Source organism: Homo sapiens, chromosome 10, assembly GCF_000001405.40.
Source record: "Homo sapiens chromosome 10, GRCh38.p14 Primary Assembly".
NCBI classification, from domain to species: Eukaryota; Metazoa; Chordata; class Mammalia; order Primates; family Hominidae; genus Homo; species Homo sapiens.
This window is the reverse complement of record NC_000010.11, coordinates 58,089,915-58,115,426: the sequence shown is the minus strand read 5'-3', so window position 1 is coordinate 58,115,426 and position 25,512 is coordinate 58,089,915.

Here is a 25,512-nt window from a genome sequence, read left to right as displayed (position 1 = left end):
TGTGCAGTGCGCAACTATCAAGGCTGTGCAGTTGAAAAGCAATCCCTCCAACACTCAATTTTTTTTTCCTGTTGATGTACGACTGGGCTTGAAATTCTACCATTTGGACAAAGACACTGTATTTCTTATAGTCTTTCACTAAAATACAAACACCCCATGAAAACAGTAACATATTAAGGCATCATCAGCAGGTATTACGTATACATTCATCAGAAAAGCCCATTGGATGAAGGATTACACAGAGTTGGGTCATGTGCAGATGGGTATTCCAGGAGGAGTTGGGCACAGTGTGAAGAGGTGGGCAGAATCTAAAAATGAATATTGTTTCTTCTCAGCTTTATCTTGAGACTTACTGTCTTAGAGGGTAAATTTAATGAATTGAATATTATATATAATCCTATATTTTAATATATAGTAGAAAATATATAATTATATGTTGTATATCTTCTAGTCTCTTTCATTTCATAGACAAGAAAACTGAGATTTTTATTTTACTTTATTATTTTAATTTAATTTAATTTAATTTAGAATTGGGGTCTTGCTCTGTCACCCAGGCTGAAGTGCAGTGGTGTGATCATAGTTTACTGTAGCCTTGAAGTCTTGGCCTCAAGCAATTCTCCTGCTTCAGCCTCTTGAGAAACTGAGTTTTAATGACCTGTGAAGGCTGGCAAAAGCCAACCAAATTAACCACTGATGCACTAGAAAGTATGTTTGGGTAGTAGTTTAGATTTGAAAACATTGGCTTTGCCACTAGACCTCTGGGATATGGCTGCAACATAGACTTGTAATATTTATTTTTTTACTCACTGAATTTTCCTCTTCTTTTACTTTCTTGGACACTGCCAGTGTTTTCTTTCTGTTCAACAACCTATGTGTTGGGTGGTGCCTGCTTACTAGTTTAGATCAGAAACGATGTTGTACTCAGTTATGCTCATGCTATGTGATATGAGGTGCTCCCACTGGACCTGACTTACTTGATCAGTCAGAGAAGATGGCATAAAAACTATGGTCTTTCTGGCATGGGCCCACTGTCCTGGATTCCTGCCGTCTTTGGCCTAAGATCAGGTTAAGGGTGGTCATTGAGTTTTTCTAGGCCTTTTTTTATGAAGGTCTCTTTCAACCTCTCTAAGCAGAGGCAAATGACTGAGCTGAGTATAAAACAGGAATCACACATCTAGACAAAGTAGATAGTTTTTTCTTTTTCGAACAAATTGTTTTACTTTCTGTTTAAGACATACGTTGTATATATGTTTATTGTAATTATCCTGTCCCTGTTTCACGACTGCATGCTGTGTGTGTGTGAGGTAGCTATATTGCCTTCTTTATTCATAGGTTTCTGGATCAAGAAGATCTGTGGTTTATACCTATTATATGGGCTTCCAACCTGATGTTGTGTTTGAATAAGACTTGGGGGTCACTAAAGGGAGATAAGCATATTTCTTATATAGGAGGAACATGAATAATTCTTGCCTGATGGTTGACTTGTGGTAGGTATATATATATATGTTGTGTTTGGATAAGACTTGGGGGTCAAATATATATATACACACACACATATATATACATATATACATATACATATATACATATATATACACACACACATATATACACACACATATATATATATGTCAAACATATGTTATATATTGTTTGACAGAATCCTGCTCTTTCACTCAGGCTGGAGTACAGTGGTGCAAACATAGCTCACTGTAGCCTCAATCTCCTAGGCTCAAGCAATCCTTTCACCACAGCCTTCTGAGTAGCAGGGACTATAGGTGCATGCCACCATGCCCGGCTAAATTTTTAACTTCTTAAAGGGATGAGGTCTCACTTTGTTTCCCAGGCTGGTCTTGAATTCCTGGGCTCAAGTGATCCTCCTGCGCTGGCCTCCCAAAATGTTGGGATTACAGGCGCAAGCCACTGAGCCTGGCTAGTCTAGCATAATCTTGAGGAATAATTGGATATTACCTGAATTGATTTTCAACCATCAGCTGCTGAGGTCCCCTCCTTTAAGCAATTCATACATCAGAGTAGAGGGGACCATATCCATGGTTCACCAGTGGTTAAGCTTCATGGGTATGATGTCAAGACTCTTCTCTTGGTGGAAAACTGACCTGCTTTTGAAGCCAAGATGATGCAAAATGATGACATTACATGAAAACATTTACTTTCTCATTTGAGTAGAGAGATGGGCTTAGTTATTTATGAATAGACTAATTACAGGGTAGTAAACATGTAAAAATTCATGTAACATTAGATAGAGTAAGATGTAAGACTGAAAACTGCTCATGTTTTTGTTCCTTTCAGTTTGTAACTTTTGAGAATAGACTAGACTAAATCATGTAACATCATGCTTTCCTGCGAAATGTTTTTCATGTCTAGGTGCTTCCAGATGAAGGAAGCTTCATCATGCAGCACCAGACATGGTCTCAGTATGCTGGAACAGACTGTACAAAGGCATTCTGAAACATTACTCTTCCGTGCTATCTTTATAATCTAATTTAATTTAGCTTAACAAGCTCTTCTTGTCCACCATTTGAACCTAATGCTTGCTAGTGTAGGATGAGCAGTAGTAACCATGACATAATTTAATGGTCAGGAGTAGTGTTCAATGGTGTTACATAGGAAGTATCATGGTTTTGCACAATTAGAGAATTTGTATTCAGTTGGACTCTAATTGAAATGTGACTGTCCACTAAAGTCCTGACATGCCAAAGAACACAAAAAGTGGTGTTAGGTTTAAAGAACTGCTGACAAATACAGGTCATTCCTATACTAGCAAGTAAAGAGAGCAGGTCACATTTACAGAGTATGATAGGGGAAGAAAACTATTTTAGGCACTCTATTTAAAGAGAACTTCATGTGTTTGTAGGTTTAAAAACTAAGAATTATGTACAAAGAATTTGTAGTTTAAAGATTAAGTACTATATACAAAGAAACAATGGCTGCCCCATACTAAATATCATGGGAAAGAACTTGTGGAACACAGGGGGATAATAATGAAAACATGGTAAAATTAATGTGGGGACTGAACTTGAGCAAAGACACAACCATATAAATCCTTACTGGATTCACAATGCCAAGGCATGTGAAAGTGATGTTGTCAATACCATTGTCATCATCAGCACCACACAATGATTTATCCAGTACTTATTATAAGTCTCTGTGATAAATGATTTATGCACTTTAGTTTATCTAATTTCTTTTTCTTTTTCTTTTCTTTTCCTTTTTTTTTTTTTTTTTTTTTTGAGATAGAGTCTTGCTCTGTCACCCAGGCTGGAGTTCAGTGGCACGATCTCGGGCTCACTGGCAACCTCCGCCTCCTAGGTTCAAGCGATTCTCATGCCTCAGCCTCCCGAGTAGCTGGGATTACAGGCACGTGCCACCATGCCTGGCTAATTTTTGTATTTTTAATAGAGATGGGTTTTCACCATGTTGGCCAGGCTGGTCTCGAACTCCTGACCTCAGTGATCTCCCCGCCTCAGCCTCCCAAAGTGCTAGGATTATAGGCATGAGCCACCGCGTGTGGCTAGTTTACCTGATTTCCAAATAACTCCCTGAGGTAGGTCCTCTTATGTTGATTTTATAGATGAGGACACTGGATACACTAACTCCCATGCCCAAAATTACACAGCTGGTATCCAGACTCTTTTCTGCCTTAAGATATTAATCATCATACTACATAAGCTTACCCATGAAATACTAGAGATACAGTTTCCACATCAGCATTTGGGCTTCTCATTCCTCACAAATCTTTTTGTCATTTTCTGTTTCAGAGTTAAATATGCCATTCAGGACTATTTATGTATACATACCCATAATGAATGAATGAATCCTTTCTGCACTCAGAATTCTTGTAACCAGAATTAACATAAACACCCTCTTTTACAGAAAGATCTGTTGGCAAGACTTAATTATTTCTGGACGTGCTGTTATTACAGTCTTTATTACAGTAATTCAAAGCTCTGTTCATCTACGAAAGAAACTTACTAAAGTAAGCTGTGAAATCAACCACAAAGGCATCTCTTCTGTTGAAACAAGAGAAATGTCTTTAAAGGTGAGAATACACTGAAAATCCTTAACACTTTCTTTTTATTGTTTTTTTAAAAAGCTGGTTTGAATTGTCATTACAGTTTTCCAGGTTCTCTGGAAAGGACTGCTTTGCATTAAACTATCTTGATAGCAGGGTTTGCGCTGCATAAACAATGACAGCCTGTCAGACTGCTATGGTCTGTGTAGAATGCTATTGCCAGCTTTTTAATGTTTATTTCATTCTATAGATTTTTACTCTTTGGATGAAAAAAAATAAATTCTTACTGTTTATTTTGTTGGTATGATGGTATTTTGAGTATAGTTTTGAATATGTTATTTACATATGATTTTATTAGAGTGATTATCTTTGGGTCTTCGTGTAAAATGTAAAGATACCAGCCTGATAATCTAGGTCTCTGGTTATGTTTTTTTCTTTCTTTTTTTTTTTAAATGTAAGTTGTAGCCAAAAATCATTTAAAAATGTTCTCTTCACACTGTATTTTTTCTTTTTGAATCTTGCCTTCCACTGAAGGTTCAGGGAGAAAATGATTTACTTTTCTTTGTATTTTGTAAAAATGATGAAATTGTCTTTATTTTGCCTGTTCAACTTTTCTCATATAGAATTTATCTTGTATAAACATAGATATCACTGCTATTCCCTTAGGTAAAATTCAGAATATTCTTCATTATTTTGAGGGAAAAAGAAGATAAGTAAAGAGATATACATATATAATATTTATATATTATATATACCTTTATATCTCAGATTTATATATAGTTAGATTTATATATAGTTAGATATACATATATGAAGATATACATATCTTTATGTAAAGATTATATATGTCAGTGGGGTTTAGATTATTATGAGCCGTTGTTATTTATGGTGAAGCTAACTGTAGGGTTCTCAAAGCCAACAGTTAAGCTTGTCTGATTTAATGCCAATGAATCTAATATTTTATACTGTTTTATATGCAAATGACAGATGTGAATATGCACATGCATTTTATTTTAGAGTAGAATTTGATTGTTTGTTCTTAGCATTCTTTTTCCAGAGTTGTATTTTTCTCTAGAAGACAATTCTGCCCACATAGGGGTCTTCTGAAAATAGGAGGAATAACATAAGGGAATAACTAAGAGTGCTGTCCTAGCCAAAACTTGACAAAAGGATGTTTGACAAAAGGTTACAGAAACCACATGGAGACAAAGTACTTAGAGGTATATCAACCAAATTGTGACTGCGGATTGCTGTGCCATCAGTTACCTAAGACAGCTACTCTCCCTGTGGCTTTCTCACTTTCTCGGACCACAGGATCTTAATGTGTCTGCCTCTTTCTCTATGTTGCTCCATTCTTTTTCTGCACATCAGTCTATTTATACATTTGTCTGCATCAAAATGGCAAGCTCAATCAGAGTCCATCCATCCACTTGGCCCTTTAGTTAGATTACGTTCTACCCACTGAGTACAGCTGGGATTTCTCTTTATTTAAATTCTTCAGGAAGTATTTTAATTGGGTGCTGGCTAGACAATAGATTGCCTGGTCTTGGATCGAGTGTCCACTATTTATCCAGTCAATCATAGTAATACTGCAGATAACATGAACATTTGAGACTGTTTCTTACAGAGTTGTGGGAAGGGCAGGCACATTTACAGCCTAAAAGAAATAATAGGAATACTTATAAGGAGGTAAGTGGTTTTGAGGGATTTTTTGACAGACCTCAAATCACCCTTCTGATTTAATTTACATATGAGTCAGCTATTTGCATTAAGAAAAATACCTCAACATATCAAAATGTTCAGCCCTCTGACATTTTGCTTCATTAAAAGCAATTGCCTAGGATCCTCTTTGCTTTCTTCCTGTTCTATTCCCAGTTTACTTTCTCCCCTATAGATACCACTGCAGCCCTTTAGGCTACAGTTGGGCATCTCCCAGCAGTGCTCCCTATTTCTTCTTCTAATGTCTCAGGGAGGTTATTCTGCTGTAACTCAAGGTTTTAGATCCAAACTTCAGTATTAGATTCCTTGGTAAGTATTTGGGCCCCCCTTTGAAGTGTCATTTGAAAGTTTAGCTGACTTATGTGAATTTCCAATTCCTTTGTAAGAAGGGTGAATGGGAACTTTTTAACTGGCAGAGGAGTTAGTTTCTTCCAACTCTGTTGGTTATGTCTAAAAAGTAGGAGATTTGGCTGGGTGTGGTGGCTTACACCTGTAATCCCAGCACTTTGGGGGGCCAAGGAGGGTTGATCACCTGAGGTCAGGAGTTCAAGACCAGCCTGGCCAACATAGTGAAACCCCATCTCTACTAAAAATACAAAAAATTAGCTGGGCGTGGTGGCGGGCACCTCTAATCCCTGCTACTTCGGGGGAGGCTGAGGCAGGAGAATCGCTTGAACCCAGGAGGCAGAAGTTACAGTGAGTCGAGATCGTGCAATTGCACTTCAGCCTGGGCAACAAGAGCAAAACTCCATCTCCAAAACAAACAAACAAACAAAAAAGGAGATTTATTATTTTCAGGAACATGAACGAAAAGTAAATTAACTCTGAGACAGGTAGGAAGCAAATAGGACTATTATGCTGAGAAGTCAAGGTCAACAAAGTCATCTTTTTGGAAGTGAGTCTTAACTGGGAGCACATCTTTACAGACTAAAGATATTAGTTAATTGCACTTATAAATTCCTTATGTGCCAATTTTGACATTTGATCTTGGCTACTTTTGAGGACTGTTTAGGACCCTTGTTTGAGACACAGAGAGAAGAAACCACTCACTTGAAAATGATAATTCAGGCCTCTTGATGGATTCACCATTGGTCTTTCTATCCAAGGAGGGTTAAATACCAATCAATCTGAGCCACTTAATGGCAATATCAAAGCACTGATTCTCTTCCTCTTCTGCCCATGATCTATGCTCTGACATGGATATTGTATTACATCCTAATCTCTATACACTGAACAGTCATTCAGTTTGTCCGGCGGGCTAAATGGGTCCCAGTATCAGCCTTCAAATTCAGAGTTACAAACAGAATTGCTTATGGAAGTCACAGGCTTCAGCCATCCTGCATAAAGTGATTTAAACTGGAGCCAGAAGGCGAAGTCTGAAGACTGATATAAGCAATGATGAGACATCCTCTACGTGCCTCCCATTTTCTTTTTTCTATCTGTGCTAAAAACTTGGCTAGAACAAAGTGAGCTAGCTACGAGGAGAAACGCACAGTCAAGTTGCTATGTCACCTTTGGTGAGCTGTTTGGCCTTTTTGGGTCTCCATTTCTCCAGGAAAATGAAAGTGTTGGGTGAGATGAACAGTTCCTAGCCCTGATAGTGGGTTGCTTGAGTATATTGTGATTGGTTGGGAAGTGTTTTGGAAGCAATTTGTTACAGATTACATTTAATATAAGTTTGGGAAATGGTTTTGTATTTTAAGAGTGAATTCAAAGTTGTTCCTATAATATCGTCTCTCTTATTTGCTTGCATTAAGTATACTTAATGCAAGGTATACTTTCATGAGTGAAACAGGAGAGAGGTGAATTACTTTCCTAGGCCTGCAATAACAAAGCACTATGAACCATATGGCTTAAAACACAGACATTTAATCTCTCACAGTTATGAAGACTATAAGTTCAGAATCAAGATATTGGCAGAGTCATGCTCCCTCTGAAGTCTCTAGGCTGTGGTTTGGTGAATCACAAATCCTAAATAATAGCAGTAACATCAGTAGTGAGTGAGGAACTCTCTAGACACTTGAGAGCGATTAGTCACTGCATTGGCTTTTATGGAGACATAGATGTCTCTTGAAAAATCGGTAAAGCCATCCAAGTAGTTGAGGACATTATCTCCTCTGACTTCCAGACTGTTTTTTGGGGAGTTCTTCATTTGGCCTTTGGGGCTTAAATCTCCTAGAGCTGTTTAGATAGTCATTACTTAAAGGATTCCAGGCAACTGGGGTGTACCCCATCTTACAGTTTTCCAGACAGGGCATTTCCATTAAGATGCCCTCCAATGCTAAAAGCTCCCATTTCCAGTAGTTTTGTTCTGAATTTAATATCTAATATGGCAGACGAAATGGATTTTCTTCTATTTGTGCTTAGAGGAGATAGTGAACTGCATTTTAAACTCCGTAAGAAATAGGAGGAGATTACCAAGTTTTCTTTTAAATGCTCAACAAAATTAAATGCAGACTTTTCAAAGAGGGCTGCAGTGGGGCCAGTGGCAGTTGTGGGTGTGTAACTGGGTGAGCCCAGGCAGGGAAGCCAAGAAGCCAGGTTGGGTTTTTCCGAAGACCAGGCACTGCTGATTCCTGCCTGCCACGGAAACCAGAGCCCAGGGCGGGCAGGACTTATGGCTCCAAGATCATGACCCGTCTTCTCTCCCGCAAACCCCTTCCGAAGACTTCGCAGTGGCTGCTTGCTGAACGAACCCGCCCATTGACGGATGAGAGCTTCGGTGGGCTGAGCCCCCGTAGAAAGATGCGCACCTCGCTCCTCGCTGGCCGCCGAACCTCCGCCTGGGTGACCACACTCCCGGGGCCCTCCTGTCCAGTGCCTTGGCCACTGACCTCTCACAGATCACCAACAACCTGTATATTCAAGGGGTGGCCCAGAAACACGCTCATGCTGTCCGGTAATCGTATCACCACTGTCGTCAATGTCTCAGTGGGGGCGTTGGACGCCATCTTCCAGTGGCGTTCAGGATGCTCAGGTGCCTGTGGCCGCCGCGCGCGTCTCGCACTTGCGCAACTTGCTGGGCCACATCGCGGATCACATTCATGGTCGCGAGGCAGGGCTGCCCCTCTCTGCCCTCTCCCAGGGAAGTAGCAGCTGCGCCCCTGCCGGACACCCATCAGCCTGACAATGGCTTTGGGGAGCCCTGCATCTACCAGGAGTTCCAGTGGTTTGGCAAGAATATTGCGCACATAGTCAGCTCCCTGAGGGGTGGTGTGATCCCTGAGGTCCATGAGAAGGAGGTCGGTTTAATGGGTAACCCAACCGAGGGGCATCCTGGCCAGCCCTGCCTGCGGGGTCCCAGGTGCTGGTCGGCTGTTGTTCTTCCACCAAGATCTGAACTTGAGCTTGTATAATACTTTTGTTTATTCAGAAACTCACATGATGTCTCCTATAATAGGAAGGAAAAAAGGGAGAGTTACTGGAGGTTTTGACCTTATAGTCCACATATCTTTGAAGAGTAAAACTCACTAAATAGAAGATGAATATTAGTTTCCTACCCTGAGAGTGCCAAGTCATGACCACTAGTGCCTGGTCAGGGAGGTGAAGCAGGTGGTGCCCACTCAGGGGGACCGGCCAGCAGCACCCAAGCCATGTGTTAGGCCTGGAATATTACAGCCCTGCCCAGCCTGTCTACCCATTCCTGCCCAGCCTGTCTACCCAGGAGCAAGTCAGCCAGAATCCTAGCTCATTCATTGGAACCCAAAACCACAGAGCCGTAGGCACCGTGGCCCTCTGGTATCTCTCACAATGAGAGCCAACCTACAAAATACGTGGCCTTCAAATGGTTCTCTGGGAGCCCAGGGAGTCTCAGACGACCTCAGGTCACCCTTGCTCTCATCTCTAACCAGAGCAGCCCAACTTTGGTTTCCTAGAAGGGCTTAAGCATAAGAAAGCTTTTGAAGAAAGTATTCCTATACTAATCTGTTCCCACATTGCTATAAAGAAACATCTGACACTGGGTAATTTATAAAGAAAAGAGGTTTAATTGGCTCATACTTCTGCAGGCTATACAGGAAGCATAGCGACTTCTGCTTCTGGGGAGGCCTCAAACAATTTTTAGTCATGGCCGAAGGCAAAGTGGGAGCAGGCATCTTACATGGCAGGAGCAGGAAGAAGAAAGAGAGAGGGAGGTGCTACACACTTTTAAACAAGCAGATCTCACAATAACTCACTATCAGGGGAACAGCACTGAGGAGATGTTGCTAACCCATTCATAAGAACTCCTCCCCAGTGGTCCAGTCACCCTCCCACCAGGCTCCACCTCCAACACCAGGGATTACAATTCAACTTGAGATTGGGTGGGGACACAGATCCAAACCGTATCAAATCAACTGTATAACATTTAAAAATAATGTTTTGTCAGGTGACAAGGTCTCAAGGTGTTTGCAGCTACCTTCCACCAGCCTTTGAGGAAAAATGGCTTAAGTCTCCTTGTCTGAGGCATGTACTGAGAGAAGGGCAGGCCTGTTTTCAGTCCTTGGGGTTTTATTTTGCAGGCCTTGGCTTGGAAGGTTGCAGCTGTGGGCTGGGACCCAGCTCTGTCACCTCAGTCACTTGCATTGCATTTGATATGGGGCCTCCTGGAGGCCCGATGACCTCACCTGTCAAAGTAATGACAGCCCTTCTCTCACAGCGTTGTTGTGAGGATGAACTGATCGCTAGCAGTGGACCTGGAACATGGCACATGCTTAAAGAGCAGTTCTTGTTATTAATGATAATCTTGGGCTCTGCCGGTCCTGGGGAAGCACACTCATCCCCATCCACAGCATTTTCCCCATCTGTGCATATCCCTTTATTTTTATAAAGTGTGCTTCCAAATATCATCCTGTGGGAGGGGGAAAAAATGGTTTAAGATCCTTTCAGACCCTCCATCAGGGAGGACTAGATTTTGCAGCCTTTTCAGAGTTCTCATTGTGTTTAATCCAAAGGTTGTAAAGCAAGGAGCTCCTGCCAGCTGGATCTCAAAGTGTTTTCTTTAGAATCACTCACCATCAGAGCCAGTTCCCTGGTCTGGCTAACCACTGCAAGCCACAGGAGCACTTGCCCAAGGGACAAATGAGTTGGCCTCAGCAGTAGGCCCTGGAATTGGGAGGGTTCAAACTCCTGGAATGCCTAGGGATGCAGTTTGGGATCAGCTATTGGAATCTGGAGGTCTGCAGACAATATATGAGACAAAACAAAAGTACAAATGCTCTGATTGATGTGAAGCTGTGGCTCCAGAGCCCAGGGGAGGCTGAATGCACTTTCTCTCCAAACACACCCACTTCCACAAAGGGAGTGGCCAGAGACACCATTTGGGAGGAAAAATGAATGAAAAAAAAGTCACTGCTCTAGACTGATCCTCTTCTTTTAGAGATGGAAAATCAGGCTAAGAGAACACAGATGTGGCAGAGTTCCTCAAAGCAGCTTTTCTGGCAGAAACCTAAATAGAAAATTTAAAGCACTTTTTAAGAGAAAGTTATGTATGTAATATATATTATATATAACATGTATATTAAATGTTATGTATAAATAAAATTATATATAATATAAATATATGCAAGTTTATATCTGTCACTTAATTTTTTTAAATTTAAAAATACTTTTTAAAATTTAAGTTAACATTGTTTTATTTGTATGTATTCATGGGGTACAAGTGCAATTTTGCAACACTGATATATTGCATTGTGGTGAAGTCAGGGCCTTCTGTGCATCCATCACTGGAGTAACACACATTGTATCCACCAAGCATCCTCTCATCATCCACCCGCTTCCTACCCCTCTCATCACTCTGAGTCTCCATTGTCTATCATTTCTTTGTTTCATTTAAAAATACCATAAAATTAACTTTTTTGGAAGTACAGTTATATGAGTTTTGACACATGTATAGTTTTATGTAACCATAACCACAGTCAGAATCCAGGGCAGTTCCATCACCCTGAAATATTCCCTCATGCTTCCTCTTTGTAGGCAAGCCCTCACCCTACCCCAGCCTCTGGCAAACACTGATTTGTTCTCCTTCCCTATGGATTTGCCTTTTCCAAGGTGTCACATAAATGTCATAATGCATAACATGACCTCTGGAGACTGGCTTCTTTCACTGAGTACAACGTCTTTGAGACTAATCCATATTGCTGCTTTTTGGTGGTATTCCATTTTATGGATGTCCCACAGTTTGTTCGCCCAATGAAGGATATTCAGGTTGTTTCCATTTTTTGGTGATTATGAATAAAGCTGCTATAAATGTGAAAGTCATATTAAAACAAAGGTAATATATAGTCAAAATTCATTACTTCCTTATGGTCTTACTAAATTTTAATAAGATACTAAATTTTATTATCTGTGCTGAGGTTATTTTACATCTGTTGTATCTGTATGTGTGGGGGTTCAGTCAGGATGGTGGGAGAAATTGTAAAATTATAGGAAATAAACACAAACCCTCTTGGAAGGCCTGAGGGTTTGCATAAACTATTTGGCTGAAGGCAGCTGAATTCTCTTAAAAGCTTAGGGCACAGATACATAGGAATGTAGAGGAGTTTATCTAAATAGCTTGTTTACTCATGTGGTCCTAAATCAACCTTTGATCATTCGAGGGCAGAATGGCCCTCTCCGTGGTCGGGGGGAGGTGACCAGGTTAATTACCCACAGGTGTGTTGACTCAAAGCCTCTGTCAATTAAATCTGTACTAAATAAATGTAAGCATTACCAGCTTAGACGGGCAGCAAACTCTCTTTGGCTCCTGGTGCCGGCAGCCCCCTGGCCTGCTCTTTCACTGAATATCGGTGTCTGAGTACGTGTCTCATCTGCTGTGCAGCTGGGGTCTGCAGGACAGACCCCCACATGTACGGCAGAAATGCTATATATGATGGTGTGTTACTGAGGATCTCTTCTTCAACTCCCAGTGCAGTCATACTGATAGTTTGAAGTCATCCATGGTGGGAGTATTTACAGCATAGAGACTGGCAAGTGCCACACATCAGGACCTACCTGCCCCCCCTACAATCCCCAGACAGTGGTTAAACATTTCTCAGCACACTACTGATGCTGATAACAATGACAGCGTACACCAGAAACTTTAGAAAAGGAATCCAGTAAATGTACCCTATGACTATGGGCACCATGTGATAAGGTTAGTCTTTGTGTCCCCACCCAAATCTCATCTTGAATTGTCATCCCCATAATCTACACATGTCAAGAGAGAGACCAGGTGGAGGTAATTGAATCATGGGGGTGGTTTCCCCCATGGTGTTCTCATGATAGTGAGTTCTCATGATATCTGATGGTTTTATAAGTGTTTGACAGTTCCTCCTTCACAGGCTCTTTCTCGCCTGCCACCATGTAAGATGTGCCTTGCTTCCCCTTCACCTTCCACCATGATTGTAAGTTTCCTGAGACCTCCCCAGCCATGCTGAACTGTGAGTCAATTAGATCTCTTTTCTTTATAAATTACCCAGTCTTGGGCATTTCTTTATAGCAGTGTGAAAATATACTAATACATCATATATCCTGGAGGTTTAATGTCAGCTATGATTTTAGTGAGCAGTTCATTAAATTTGCATAACTAAATGTGATTTACATTTTAACTCATATATGATTTTACCTATTACTAAGTTCATAAGTCAAAAAAACTTTTGCCAGTCTGCATATTGTATTGCCACATTTGTTTTTGAAAATCATGTTATTGAAACTCAGAGGATCACATAAATATTTGCAAGAGTGCAATGTTGATAGTTTGTAAACACTTGCAAACCATTTATTTGGGCCAGTTCAGGGATAAGATGACAAGATACTCTGTGAAGCTTGGAGTTGGCTTGACTTTTAGCTTGCTGTGATCTGATAAAATATTTTAGTTTAGTTTTCTTTTTCATTATGCACTAGCACCGCAGGCATTAGCTGGAAATGAATTGAAAGGCCTTAGAAATGGTGATTCTGCAGCCAGCAAGCTATTAGAATAGAATTAGTTATCTGGAGGTGTTTGCAAATAGAAGTGGGCCTCCTACCTATTTGTTTCCATTTCAACATTAGAGGTATGTGGGAATCTTGTTAATACCCTTTAAGAGTTTGATCCCTCTGCCTATGTGGCTTCTGATTCAGATGAACACTTAAAATCCATTAAAGGGAAATCATAAATAAAAGCAAATATGACACAGGAAAAATATACTTCTAAAAACTATTAGAAACTATTTACACAGTGTCATAAAATAAATGGACTCATGCCTGTAATCCCAGCACTCTGGGGGGCCAAGGTTGGCAGATCACGAGGCCAGGAGTTTGAGACCAGCCTGGCCAACATGGTGAAACCCTGTCTCTACTAAAACAAACAAACAAGCAAAAAAACCCCCAAAAATCAGCCAGATATGGTGGCCTGAGCCTGTGGTCCCAGCTACTCAGGAGGTTGAGGCAGTAGAACTGGTTGAGCCTGGCAGGTGGAGGTTGCAGTCAGGTGAGATTGAGCCACTGTACTGCAGCCTGGGAGATAGAGTGAGACTCTGTCTCAAAAATAAAATAAATAAATAAATAAATAAAATAAAAAACAAATTGAGACTTAGTAAGGAGAGACTATTACAATTGAGGATGGTGGACTACTGCAATGGGGGAAAGGAACTATTGCAATGGGAGAATGCATTGACTGTATTATCTACAATTGTCTCAACAATCAGGCAGAAAGAGCTTTTCTTTTATAGGGAAGAGTAAACAAGGCTAGAAAGAACCAGGTGTTGGAAGTGGGATCAGCAGTGGAGAGTTGAGCAGAAAATGTCCTTTTTTATGGTTAGCTGGTTCTCAAGAGGGGCTGTTTAGGAGATTTTGATACTTGTTCCAGTGTCCCCTTAGCTTGCAATGCTTGAGTAAGCTCAAGGGTGGGCCAAAGTTCAGGGGCATAGGGGAAGGAGTGAAGTCTCTAAGGTTTGGTCAAGTCAAGTTACTGGATATTTTGTCCAGATTGGTCTGTGGGGTTAAGCAGTTCAACTAATCATTTATAAGAAAAAAAAAGACAATTTAGAAGGTCTGTGTTTGGCTTTGTTATAGGTAGACAAGTTAGTCATTGTCAATATGAAATAATCAAAGGGATCAGAATCCAATTTTAAAGAGTTTATTCAAGCAAAAAGCTGGGAATAGCCACTTGAGAGACAAAGACTCCAGAGAAATGTGGTCAGTGTTCCAAAGTTAAAAGTTAATTTCTTCTTATATAGGCAGAAAATGAAGAAATTTAACAAGATTGCAACATTTTCTATACATGGTTGGTTTATGAGTCTTTACAATTTAATTAGTTTGTTTTATTTTCCTTATGGCTTGTTTTCATGTTTTTTAACCAATTTAAAAGACTATATTTAACATTCTATCTTAAGACAATGTGATAGCCGTGAAGTCTTTGTATAAGAAAAGTAAGAGAGAATAGGTGCAGCAAACCACCATGGCACGTGTATATCTATCTAACAACCCTGCATGTTCTGCACATGTATCCCGGAACTTAAAGTAAAATAAAAAAAAAATAGCCAAAAAAAGAGAAAGTTTTTCATTCATCATAAGAACTTTATATAAAGGCATTAAATTGGCAAATAAGATTTGGAAGCAGAAGGTCAAAAAGATTGCTAAAATGAGGCCTCCATGCAAAACATACTTCTGCTCCCCTGTATAATATTCCTTCTACTCATTTGACATTTTGGGGACCAATGTGCTTTTTCCTTCAGGAAGTGGAGATACATGGCCTTCTCCTCATCTTCTTTTCCTTCTCCTGCTTTCCTTCCCCCATAGAAAGTACCTTGAAATAGCATAGTCCATCCTTGCATGTGCACAAGCTATCATTTGAGTAAAAGTATACATGGAGTAAAAATCATATTAAGGATCAGATTCAACTTATATTTTCTATTTCTTCTTCCTTTCCCTTCTCCCACCTTCTACTGGGCAGAATTATATCTTAATCAAATTTGTATCCTGTGCCATATATGGAAAGGTGCAACATATGGTGTTTGTTAAAAGCATTTTTATTGCAGAGCAAAAATAAATAAAATTAAAAGCAATTAAAAAAAAAGAAAAGAAGGGGGGAAATTAATCTACAATGAAGATCAACAGTGAAGGGGGATGGAGTCTTTCCTGGTACCCTTTAGCTCGTTACATCATTTTCCAAAACAAAGAAGGCTTAATTTAACAGAGAAATGAAGGTCACAACTTCCTAAGTTATGGCTGCCTGTCACATGACTCAGGCCCCACAATCATCTTTATTTTTGGCTCAAAATAATTTAGAGTTCCAAGAACTTAGATTTTTGAATTACTTATTTTCACATCATCTATGGGCCTCTTTAAGTTATATGTAGGATGGTTCTTTATAGTAAGCTGTTTTCTGAAATACAAAAGGGTGGTGGTTGTAGTGGTCAAGGGAAAACTTCACCTTTACCCTTTGAAGATTCAAAAAATCAACTCACAAAAGGCAGATTCATAGGAGAAAAGTCATACACATTTATTAACACACACGGGAGAGAACCACGGAGTGATTACCCCAACCCCTCAATGGGGTTCAGAAGCATATATATATACACACACACACACACACACACATACATATATATACACACATATATATACACACACATATATATATATACACACACACACACATATATATATATATACACACACACACACACACACACACACACATACACATACCTACCATCTTGAGGGTTACAAGAAAAATTGGGGCTTGGATTGTGGCAAAACAGGTTATAATGACAAAACAAGTAGTCATGGGAGGGGAAAAAGAGGAGGGCTGACTAGCAAACATGGTCTTGTTATGTAGATGAAACCTCTCTGAGCAGCTCTCAGAGAGAATATATAGTAATATGTTTCTTTTAGACCTTTAAAGGTGTCAGACTCTTAGTTGATCTTTCCATGATCAGATAAAAGAAAGCCCTCGAAGAAGATCTGGCTGCGTCAATGCAGAGAAAATCTCCTTGTCAAGGAAACCTATTTTGGGGTGAAATGTTTTGGCTTCCTTCGTGGTGGTGGTAGTGGTTGGATTTCTTGACCATGGCTGTTTTTCCAGGAGCCCAGGGCTCAGGTAAAGTTTCACATTTTCAGCAACTAATGCAGTTTACGCTATATTTTACATTAGGTTTCTCTTTTGTGGGAGACCAGGATATACTGCCCTTAAATATGAAGGATTGTTGAGCAGAAGACAATTAGGAAGAAGCAGATTCAGGGAAGTTCTCTGCCTTCTCTCTATTTGCCTAAAAATATAACATGGATTTACAAAGGTATCTTGCACCCTCTTTCACTGGGGAGAACAAAGGTTAAACACTGAAGACTTCAAACCCTCATTGGACCGGAGAACATTCCAGAGGAATTTATATTAACAGGCTCTACTAATTAGCCTTTATTTGGGACTAATTTACCTTTCCTCAAGTTGCTGTCCCTAGAGGCTCAAAGTTCTTTGCCTTTGCCTTGTTACTTCTCTAAAAATTCACTGTTCTTTGTTGAAGATGCTATATAAGTGGGAATTCAGAGCCACCTCTTGGAAAACTACTCATTCTCTGGGTATTTCATATACATATATATATATATATATATATATGAATGAAATATCCATATTAATAAACTTTTTTTAATCTGTCTTTTGTAACAGGAGTTCATTTTTAATTAATCTGTCTTTTGTAACAGGAGTTCATTCCAACTAAGAACCTATGTGGGTGATTTTTCCCCTTTAGCTCTTAACTGTAGGCTCTAATGCTGTTCTCTATTTGAGAAGCTGTATCAGACATTTTTGTTTTGTTTTATATTTTCCTTTCATTTAAAAACATGTCTTCTGGAATTGCGTGGTGGGTGGAAATAAAAATTTTGCCTGGGGTTAGAACTTGTAACTTCTGTAGCTGTTGCAAGGAACCTGTATTGTCCTCCAACACAAAATCCCTAATGCTACCTGTGAGACTGAGATGTCACAAAAATATTTTAACAATTGGAAACTGCTGTACTAATTCAGACTGGTACTACTTTCCCAGTTCTCTGCAACCTAGACTAAGTTCCTCTTTGAAGCTAACAAAGAATCAACCTTCCTTTCTTTTATCCTCTCAATTTCTTCCTCTCTTTTCTCTACTTACTAATATTATCATTGTAACCATCATAGACAAGTTGTCTTCTCCATAAAGAGTCACTATACATGGATTGCCCCATTTCAATAATCACTAAAACAATATGGAACATATTAATACAGAATATTTATTAATATAGACTAAGTATATCATTCTACATTAATAATATATTATTCTATATTAATATATTTATATATGTTATTAATATATTATTCTATATTAATATATTTATATATGTTATGAATATATTAATATATTATTCTATATTAATATATTTATATATGTTATGAAAATATATTATTCTATATTAAAATTAGTCTATATTAATGTTTTAGTGATTCATATTAAAATTAATATTCATGTTAATTTTTAATAGTGCTTGATTTGGAAAGCACTCAAGAATCTTTTTGTGTCATTAGAACTATAAAACATGAACCTGCTGTACATCATCAGTGTGTGCTGCTTAGTAAGGATTTACTTTTGGTTACCTTAACACTTAAAATATACGTGTATACATACACACTTCGCACACATTCAAAATGAAATAATACATATTTGGGAAACCAAATAGTGCTGTTGACACAACAGGGGCCTCTGGGTCAGACACATAGACCTGGATATGGGTGTCAGTCCTCCCCTTACTCTCTGTAAGCCCTTGAGCATGTCACTCAAACTCTCTTAGCATCTTCCCATATCTGCAAAATGCCAATAATAGTTTTTGCTAAGGGCATTGTTGTGAGGATTAAACTGACGAGTTTGAATATGCAAAAGAAAAGACTAGGTACAGAGCAAATATTAGTTTTCTTCTCTAATTTTTTGAATGCTAGTCTGTGCGGCAAGCTAGGCTAGACATTATAGAGTTCCTACTTTTAAGGAACTTACAATCTAATTGGGGAATCATATAGACATATATATGTAAACACTTATTTACATGTCTTACATTTTCAGAATACTCACCTAGGACTTTGAAAAATTTATCAACATTTAAAATTAATCTTATAATTTAATTTTGATGCTTACTCATAATTAATTTTAGGAGGCTCCTTTTATCACCATCCCTCTGTAATCGCCTGATGGGTTCATCTTGCCTGCTGCCCTGAAAAGCCAATATACTGAGAAGCAGGTTTTCGCGATCGAGGAGGAGTTTAATAAACACTGAGCCAGATAAATGGAAGGACAGGAGTTTATTATTACTTAAATCAACCGCCCTGAAAATTCAGAGGCTAGGGTTTTTCAAGGATAGTTTGGTAGGCAGGGGGCTAGGAAATGGGAAGAGCTGATTACTTAGGGATGAAATCATAGTCAGAGCTTGTCCTCCTGGACTGAATCGGTTCCTGGTCAGGAGCCACAAGACCCAGTAAGCCAGTTTGCCAATCTGGGTGGTGCCAGCTGGTCCATCAGAAGACAGCATCTGAAAAATACCTCAAAACACCACTCATTGGTTTGACAATGGTTATGTTATCTATAGGAACAATTGGGGAGGTTAGGAATCTTGTGGCTTCTAGTTGCATGACTCTTGAGCCATAATTTCTAACTTTTTCATTTTACAAAGGCAGTCTTGTCCCCAAGCAAGGAGGGGGTTTGGAGAAGGGCTATCATGTTTGTTTCAAAGTTAAACTATAAACTAAATTCCTCCCATAGTTAGTTGGGCCTATGCCTAGGAATAAATAAGGGTAGCTTGGGGGTTAGAAGCAAGATGGAGTCAGTTATGTGAGATTTCTTTCACTGTCATAATTTTCCTATGTCATATTTTTCTTACTGTCATAATTTTTGCAAAGGTGGTTTCGCCTCTACGTTGAGTGCTTGGCCCTCTTGGTGGCTAAGTTTTACAAGTAGAAAGACTATATCCCTTCCCACTTAGCACTGTACAATAGTAGTAGTCCTTACTGCAGTTTACATTGTATGTAAGAAATATATCTGAACAGAAATCTTTGTCTTCCAGGCATGTCCTTCTCTCTCTGCACACTGGTGTTTGCATCTCTAAATTGCCCAGCACTAATTTCACTCTTCGGCAGCTATCTTCTCAAAATAAGCCAAACACCAAGCCAGCCAGATGAAATCCCCTGCCCTCCCCCCTAGATGGATAGGACATTATGAGTAAAAGAAGGAGAGTACCCTGGGTCAGTTGAATCCCACTAAGGCCACGTAAGCCAGTGAGGGAAGCAGCCTCAGCAAGGTCGCCACAGATGAGAGGACACAAGCTTGCAAGGGAACCAGGGAATGTTGGCCTCTCCTTGCACAGCATGATTACGAGGCTGTGAATGTATCCCAGTTTGTACTTCACCACGTTCCAATATCTATTTTGTCCTTGGTTGGACATGGAGCTGCAGGGTTAAATGAAACATTATTGCAGCACCAGAGACCACAGATGATTTTGTTTTGTACTTGGGACCGGTCAGTCGTGACAATGGGGGTTTCCTGCAAATTTGTTTCTAGGCTCTGTCTGGCTCTGAAACAATTTCACTTTCCATACATGAAAAACTGGGTCAGTGCCCTCAAAAGACAACTCAAGGGTTTTGTAGACATACCTTCTGAGTAGTGAGAGAAAGACTAGCGACTATTTCATGACTGCAAGAACTTAAAAAGAGCCATTCTTAGCCCAGCAAGGAGAGACTTTTCCATTTTAGCAGGTCCTACCCTATAACGATTACTAAAAGATTGCAAAGTAAATAAAAGTATTTTATCCCAAAATTTACTTCTTTCACATATTTTGAGAGCTGTTCAGAGGGACAACCAAGCAAATAATCACGCTGAACCCCCTTGGGCACTGTCTAATTGGATGTCCTAGGTCCTCCCAATTCTTAGTCCTTAAATACCTGTTTTTCTCCTCTTATTTGGACCTTGTGTCTTCCGTTTAGTTTCTCAATTCATACAAAACTGCATCCAGGCCATCACCAATCATTCTATACGACAAATGCTCCTTCTAACAACCCCACAATATCACCCCTTACCGCAAAATCTTCCTTCAGCTTAATCTCTAGGTTCCCATGCTGCCCCTAATCCCACTCAAAGCAGCCCTGAGAAACATCGCCCATTATCTCTCCATACCACCCCCAAAAATTTTCGCCGCCCCAACACTTCATCACTATTTTGTTTTACTTTTCCTATTAATATAAGAAGACAGGAATGTCAAGGTCTCTGAGCCCAAGCTAAGCCATGATATCCCCTGTGACCTGCACTTATACATCCAGATGGCCTGAAGCAACTGAAGAATCACAAAAGAAGTGAAAATGGCCCGGTTCCTGCCTTAACTGATGACACTGTCTTGTGAAATTCCTTCTCCTGGACAATGAGTCTCAGAAGTTCCCCACGGAGGAGCACATTGTGAGCCCCCGCCCTGCCCACCAGAGAACAACCCCTTTAACTGTAATTTTCCACTACCTACCCAAATTCCATAAAACTGCCCCACCCCTATCTCCGTCTGCTGACTCTCTTTTCGGACTCAGCCGGCCTGCACCCAGGTGATTAAAAAGTTTTATTGCTCACACAAAGCCTGTTTGGTGGTCTCTTCACACTAAAGAGACCACCCCTCATATTGTCTTATGCCCAATTTCTGCCTCTAAAGAAAGAAAAAGTAAAAACTAAAAGGCAGAAATGAAATCCACAAGCAGATAGCCCGGCCCCACAGCCTGGGCCTGGTAGTTAAAGATCGACCCCTGACCTAATCGGTTATGTTATCTATAGTTTGCAGAAACTGTATAGAAATGCACTGTGAAAATCCCTATCCTGTTTTGTTCCGATCTAATTACCGGTGCATGCAGCCCTCAGTCACGTACCCCCTGCTTGCTCAATCAATCATGACCCTCTCACGTACACCCCCTTGGAGTTGTGAGCCCTTTAAAAGGGACAGGAATTGCTCACTCGGGGAGCTCAGCCCTTGAGACAGGAGTCTTGCCGATGTCCCCAGCCGAATAAACCCCTTCCTTCTTTAACTCGGTGTCTGAGGAGTTTTGTCTGCGGCTTGTCCTGCTACAACACGGACGTGCGTGACAACCACCACTACCAAGATACCAAACTGTTGCATCACCAGAAGATTCCTTCCTGCTATCCATTTATAGTTATACTGTTATAGGAGTTATTAAGAAATTATTGTTAGGCAGAGAAGAAAAGGGGTCCTTAGTAAGGTTTTTGTTTTTGTTTTTGTTTTTTTTTTTCTTTTAAAGCAGCTCCAGAAACGTTTCTTGTCTAGCAGAAAAGCAACTCTTAGGGCCAGGCCAGCAAGCTTTGATAAGCAAATGCCAGCCATTAGAAACTGGGTCCACTCAATATAGCGATTCCCGCCTTCTTCTTCTTATCACAAGTGCCTTGCATCATGGCTGCCCCCAGATAATCCTCACCTCTGTAGAACATCATGGTGCCCTGCATTTGCATATTAAAAGACTAGGGTGGGAAGGCCAGTTTTTTTGCGGGCTATGTGAATGACATATCTGGTCAAACCAATCCCCTGGGCCCTATGTAAATCAGATACTGCCTCCTCCAGCCTCCTACTATAACTCTGTTTTCTACTGCACTTAGGGTTCCCTCTCTTGGCCTGGAGCCCCCCTCCCTCTGTCTTTGTATGGGGGAGCTTCTTCTTTCTTTCTTGCCTATTAAACTGTCTCCACTCCTTAAAACCACTCCACGTGTGTCTGTGTTGTTTTATTTAAACTGGCTTGAGACAAAGGACCCTGGTATTCCTCCAGTCATCACAGCCGTATCAATACCCACCCCCTCCCCATTCATAACCCCTGGAGACCACTAATCTGTTCTCTATCTGTATAATTTTACTTAAGAATGTTATATATGGAATCATATAGTACCTTGATATTGACTCCTTTTAAAACTCAGTACATTTGAGTTTCGTCTATATTGTTGTGTGCATTAAGAGCTTGTTTTTTTTTTTTTTTTTTTTTTTATTGCTGAGTAGTATTCCATGGCATGGATGTATCACAGTTTGTTTAATCATTACCATGCTGAAGGACTTTTTGGTTGCTCTTATTACTTGGCTATCAACAAAACCTGCTATCATGGCTAATTATATATGTTAACTTGGCTAGATTATGGTACCCAGGTATTTGTTAAACACCAGTTTAGATGTTGCTGCGAAGGTTTTTTAAAGGTATAATTAACATATAAATAAGTAGATTTTGAGTAAAGCAGATTACCCTCTACAGTGTGGGTGGGCTTCATTTAATCAGTTGAAGATTTCAAGAGAAAAGACTGAGATCTCTCAAGGAAAAGGAATTCTACTTCTAGATGACTTTAGGACTCAAAACTACTAAAATAACTCTTTCCTGGGTCTCCTGCCTACTGGCCTGTCCTGCAGATTTTAGACTTGCTAACCCCCAAAACCATGTGAGCCAATTTCTTAAATCTCTGTGCGTGTGTGCACACGTGTGTATTATTGGTTCTGTTTCTCTGGAGAGCCCTGACTAATATAGTTTTTATGAACATTCTTGTGTATGTTTTTGTGTGAGTGTGAATTTTATTTTTCTGGGATAAATGCCTAAAAGGAGGATTTCTAGACCATATGGTAGGTGCATGTTTAGTTTTTGTTTTTTTTTTAAAACTACTTGGCTAACTATATTTTAAATTTGCTATACTATTCCATATCTCTCCAGCAATGTATGACTGATTCAGTTTCTCCTCAACTTTATATGCATTTGGTATTGTCATAATTTTTTATTTTAGCCATGCTTACTGGTGCATAGTAATATCGTTGTGGTTTTAATCTGTATTTCCCTAATGGATAATATTATTGAATACCTTTCATGTGTTTATTTGCCATCTGTATGCCCATTTGGTGAAATGTCTGTTCATGCCTTTTGCCTGTTCTAATTGGATTGGCTTTTTAAATTGGTATGTTTTGAGAGTTCCTTATATATTCTAGATAGAGGTTTTTTTGTCAAATATATGTTTGGCGAATGATTTCTTGTAGTCTAACTTGTCTTTTCATCTTAATAGGGTCTTTTGCAGAGCAAAAGTTTTAAATTTCAGCGAGTTTCAATTTATCAGTTTTCCTTTCATAAATCTTGCTTTTGGGATCAATTCTAAAACCTCTTCACTGAACCCTAAGTGCTGAAGATTTTGCCTATAATTTTTTTTCTAAAATGTTTTATAGTTTTATGTTAGACTTTTGATTCCTTGATGTATTTTAAATTAATTTTGTATAAGGTGTGAGGTTTAGGTTCAGGTTCTTTTTTTTTTTTTTTGATCAAAAATGTCCAGCATCATTTGTTGAAGACTGTCGTTTCATTGAATTGCTTTTGTAACTTGCTAAAAATCAGTTTGACCTATTACCAGAAAGGTAACCCAGGCTGGAATGCAGTGGCACAATCTCAGCTCACTGCCACCTCTGCCTCCCAGGCTCAAGTGATCCTCCCACCTCAGCCACCCAAGTAGCTGTGACCACACGTGTCCACCACCATGCCTGGCCAAATTTTGTATTTTTTGGTAGATAGAGGGTTTTGTCATGTTTCCCAGGCTGGTCTCGAACTCTTAAGCTCAAGCGATCCATCTGCCTTAGCCTCCCAAAGTGGTGGGATTACAGATGTGAGCCACTGTGCCCGGCCTGATTTATCAGTTTTAAAAAGTTAAAGCTAATCACTGCTCATAAGCAGAAGTCATAACTTGACTGCATATATAGGTCAGATAGGTAACAGTTATGTGACTTGGGCTGATAAGACTGTAGAGAATGATGGCGCCTATTGCAAATGGTGGAATTTCACAGCTTCATCTAGAGACATTCAAATTAAATTTTTGAAAAAGCCTCATGCCAGGAAGCACAAAATTTCAACTGCTGCCTTGAGAGTGTGTAATCTCATTAGGGGAACAAATACGTAAGAGCACAGTTGGTTCTTTGCTCTACAGGTCTCTTAAAGACTGGATTGAAAAAGACCTGTTGGTCCATAGAACTCCAGCATTGAGCAGCACCAAGAAGCAGAGGCAATTACTGGGCAAGACACAAACCACATCTTTTAAGTGGTTTCCCTCATCACAGCCATTTACATCTACTTAATTAGTTAGACTATTACTATATTATATGTATTACAATACACATAATCTAGAATTGTATGTATTGGAATAGAAATATTTGTTTACATTTTTTATTCAAGGAGTGATATATTATGGTTTTATAGGAGTCAACATATGCCAGATACTACTCTTTTTTCAGTTATGTGGGTTGCAGATATCTTCTTCAAATTGTGGTTTGATTTTCTACTTTGATTATAATGTCTTTTGTTGCAGAGAATTTTTAAAATTTAATGTATTGAAACTTACTAATATTTTTCCTTACGGTTCGAGTTTTGTTGTGTCTTATTTAAGAAATCGTCTATGCCCTGAGGTCATAAGGATATTCTTGTATATTTTCTTCTAAATTTTTTGGAAGGTTTTCTTTTTTCATATTTAGATCTAAATTAAGTTAAAACCTACCTGTGTTGCAAGGTAAGGATCTAATTTTATTTTTTCATAGGACAATTGTATTATCAGGATAAGGTAGTTATGTTTCAGTAACACATTAAGCCCTAAGTCTTAATGTCTTAACACAACAAAGATTTGTTTCTTTCTTATAATTGTCCAACATTCATGGCTGTTGGGGATGGGTGAGCATAGCTGGTTCTTTGCTCTACAGCTCTTGTAAAGGCTCAGGCAGAAGTGACTGCAGTTTTGTAGCTTTACCTTCCAGGATACACAGCCTCCTTTGCTAGCAATGCA